Here is a 4,156-nt window from a genome sequence, read left to right as displayed (position 1 = left end):
GACATCTCCAAACATCACTTTTCTTCATCTAGAAATAAAGTCTAAAAGCAGGAAGGAAGGGATGAAGGATTCTCTTAGTTCACCTCTCTTTTTTATCAAGAAGAAATCTTTCCCAGAAGCCCCTGGCAGACTCCCTCTTAGTATTATTGGCCAGAATTAGGTCACATGTCCACCCTGAAACCAGTCATTACCACAGGAAAAAGGGAGTACAGTGGTTACCTTGGACCAGTCACAGTTCATTCTCTGGGGAAATGGAGGGTCCTATCTTGCCAAAACGCATTGCTACTTGTACTGAAACCAAATTAGGGTTCTGTTAGCCTGGAAGAAAGCAAAGTGTGTGGGGGCAGTAAGGAACAGCTATTGGGTAAGTAACCAGCAATAATTGCCACATTGACTTTTCAGTAAGAAGAAACTTCTTTTTTTTTTTTTAAGGCAGGTTCTCACTTTGTCATCCAGGCTAGAGTGCAGTGGTGTGATAGCTTACTGCAGCCTTGACCGCCCAGGTTCAAGCGATCCTCCTGCCTCAGCCCCCCAAGTAGCTGGAAGTACAAGTGCACGCCACCACACCTGGCTAATTTTTGTATTTTTTGTAGAGACGGAGTTTCGCCATGTTGCCCAGGTTAGTCTCGAACTCCTGAGCTCAAGCGATTCACCTGCCTCGGCCTCCTAAAATGCTAGGATTACAGGCGCAAGCCACCATGCCCAGCCTAAGAAGCAACTTTTCTTTTTTTTATTGTATCACCATGGGGTGGGGTGGATTGATCAGGGAATCTAGCCACCTCACGAATGCTGCTTCTTTTCTCCCAGAGATGGCAGCATCATGGGTCTGTGTAGGCGGCTCTAGACATATTCAAGGACATGATTCAAGACCAACTGATACAGCCAAGTTGAATGCTTGAAAGCCTTGCTCTCAATAACTGGATGGGGCACCACGGTTCACTACAGTCCTTAGTAGGTCACATTTGTGCCCTAGATTTACAAAATTTGATTTATAGCCTTTAAACCACAAAGCTTGGCTTACTCTCCTTACCTCTTCCATGTGTGCAGTACCTTAGGAAGTCAGCAGGAATCAGTGAAACTATAGCGTAGAAATATTGCAATCAGTTGTTTCCAAAGAAGAATGTTTGATTGGTTTAAACCTTATTTCAAAAAGAAATATCTGTCAAAAAAAAAATAGCCCCAAGCCCTTATTTTGTGGTTCCCTTTACTGCAAAATGCAGGAAACACTCACAAGGGTATTGAGAGAAGAAATCGTAGGTAATATTTTGAAATGGGAAACACTTTGGACCTACAGTTGCTGGCTTAGGGACACAGGCCCATTGAGGTTAGGGCTATGTGTCTGATTCCTCTATGGTATACTCGTTTCATACAGAGATGGCCTCAGTTCCAGGTCACACATTGTAACCCTGGCCCAAGTCAGCCATCTTGAAAATACAGCCAACCCATTTGTGTAGGCTGTCTACAAATATGGCTCCAATGCTCCAAACCTGCCTTTACCCACACCATTGATGATGTGATTTTGCAGGTCCTCCCATCAAGAGATGGAGTTTATTTCCCCTGTCCTTGAATTCATGCTGACCTTATGGATTGCTTTGGCTGATGGAATGGAGGTAAAAGTGACACTGAGCCAGTTCCGAGGCCAGGATTCACACTTCTACGCATTCTCTGGGAACTCTGCCACCACCAAGGGAACAAGCCTAGGCTAGCCCGCTAGATACAGAGAGATTCATGACTCAGTCACTGCCATCGCTGCAGCCAAAAGCCAGCCAATCACCAAACATATGAGTGAAGCCATCCAAGACCAGCCAGCCCCCAGCCAACCTGCCAGCTGGCAAGAGAGGCGTGAGCCAGCCATGCCATAAACAGCCTAGTCTAGCCCAGACCAGAAGAAACCACAATTGTTCCATAGATGACCTGTGAGGAATAAGAACTGTTTGCTTTAATAAGCCATGAAGTTTGGGGGTGTTTTGTTACACAACAGTAACTAACTGATACATAGAGGTGACTCGAGCCTCTGCTTAATCTATTCTCACTTTGAGAGAAAGTGCCTTTGATACCAGGGAGCCAAATACAACATCTTCATTTCAGGACAGCATGTGGTAATGAGTCATCCTAAAAGTCTTGCAGATGATCTTGGGGTTTCTTACGTCTTTATGAAGTCCACAAGTTCTTTGGAAATCCATGCTTCTAACCTGAATCAACTTCTTACTTTTTTTTTTGAGACAGGGTCTCCCTCTGTCACCCAAGCTGGAGTGCAGTGGTGCAATCTCGGATCACTGCAACCTCCAACTCCTGGGTTCAAGTGATTCTCATGCCTCAGCCTCCCGAGTAGCTGGGATCACCAGCATGCACCACCACACCCGGCAATTTTTTTGTATTTTAGTAGAGACAGAGTTTCACCATGTTGGCCAGGCTTGTCTCGAACTCCTGGCCTCAAGCGACCCACCCACCTCGGCCTCCCAAAGTGCTGGGATTACAGGCATGAGCCACCAGGCCCCACCTGGATCAACTTCTTACTGCCAGTGAACACCATTCTATTAAATCTGTTCATGGGTACCTTGTTAGGATCAAAGGTTGAACATGAAGCGACAAATCCTTGAGTTAGGGTCACATGCTGTCCAGGTGGCAACAATCTCACTCCTCTAGGACTCTGTGATCTATCTTGATGTCAAGACTCTGGATAGGCTGGGCATGGTGGCTCACGCCTGTAATCCTAGCACTTTGGGAGGCTGAGGTGGGCGGATTGCTTGAGCTCAGGAGTTTGAGACCAGCCTGGGCAACATGGCAAAACTCTGTCTCTACAAAAAATACAAAAATTAGCCAGGTGTGGTGGTGCACACCTGTAGTCCCACCCACATGGGAGGTGGAGGTGGGAGGATGGCTTGAGGCCAGGAGGCAGAGGTTGCAGTAAACCGAGATCGTGCCAGTGCACTCCAGCCTGGGCAACAGAACAAAGAAAAAAAAAAAAAAAGGACTCTAGATACCTCTTAGCATCAGACTTTTCAAGCCATCTGAGAAAACTTACTCCAAATACAAACCAAGATATGATACCCCACCAGCCTATGGCACCCATCTTTCTCATGGGCATGGTTGTAATACTCCCTTGTCCACAATTCAGACAGCAAACCAAATGCTCCCATCTTTCTCATGGGCATGGCTGTAATACTCCCTTGTCCACAATTCAGACAGCAAACCAAATGCCCCAACATACCCAGCACCTCTAGGTGCTTCCACAGCCCATCCTTGCACACCCTTATTTTACCGATTCCATGCACCAAATATTTCTCTCTGTTCTCTGTGCCAGGCCTTTTCCCAGGTTGAGGGATGGTGGTCCCTAACTTGTACAACTCAGTACAGGCATAAGGCTTGGGAAGAGCCTTGATCAGAAAGCGACACAAGGCCTCTTTCAAAGTGAACTTCTGAGAGGGGCAGGAGGCAATCAGTCAGCTTTTTGAGAAGTGGAGTGCTTTGGTCCAAATCCATTTTTTTCATCATTAAATATTACATAAATTATAGCCTGGAGATCCAAAAACCCACTTGCATAAAAGCTTAGGTAGGAAAAATGTCAAGATAAAAATGGAAAGTTTAGTCTGTGGAACTTCCAATGATTTTCACAGCCTTTCCAATCCCCACCATCAACTGGTATGTGCACCATTTTCTTGTTCATGTCCAGATTTGCTCAATCGAATTCCAAGAGTTCTTTCTTCTCTCTTCTTCTTCCCATCTCCTCTCTTTTTCCCCTTAAAGCCTTGTTTAAAAATCTGTAAGAGGGCCTTGAATACTTTGGTTTATGCTGGTGTGAGGTTTTTGGATGATTATTTTTTTTCTCCTCATGAAAGGGGCCCTTGAATAGTTTTGCTCCCTCCCAGGGAGACGGCTGAGGACTGCCTGAGTTTCCTGAGAAAGGTGACCATTCTGCCAAACTCAGAGCAGAGTGTGAAGCAGAGACAGTCATCAAGTCCCAGACTCCCAGATAATGGGGACGCTGTTCTGCTAAGTACACGCCCCTGAGATTTGAATCCCGCCAGAAGCCTAGAATTACCGCACAAAAGTGAAACTGAGGATAACCTCCCCCAATTCAGGAAGCTGATTCTTCAGGCCTCGGGTTCAGAAGGTATGGAATACTTATACTGAACATTCATTTTTAGGCCCAGTT

General features: G+C 45.8%; 1 annotated feature.

The window, feature by feature from the left end:
* Nucleotides 792-1,991: an enhancer, noted in NCBI's record as "BRD4-independent group 4 enhancer chr17:55273397-55274596 (GRCh37/hg19 assembly coordinates)". NCBI's record gives its function as "activates an origin of replication core promoter dependent on BRD2, P300/CBP, MED14 and CDK7 cofactors, and independent of BRD4, by STARR-seq in HCT116 cells {active_cell/tissue: HCT116}" and the evidence as "EXISTENCE:reporter gene assay evidence [ECO:0000049][PMID:35650434]".

The sequence above is a fragment of the Homo sapiens genome, chromosome 17 (genome assembly GCF_000001405.40).
Source record: "Homo sapiens chromosome 17, GRCh38.p14 Primary Assembly".
In the NCBI taxonomy this organism is placed as follows: domain Eukaryota; kingdom Metazoa; phylum Chordata; class Mammalia; order Primates; family Hominidae; genus Homo; species Homo sapiens.
This window is presented reverse-complemented; position numbering and strand designations above follow the sequence as displayed.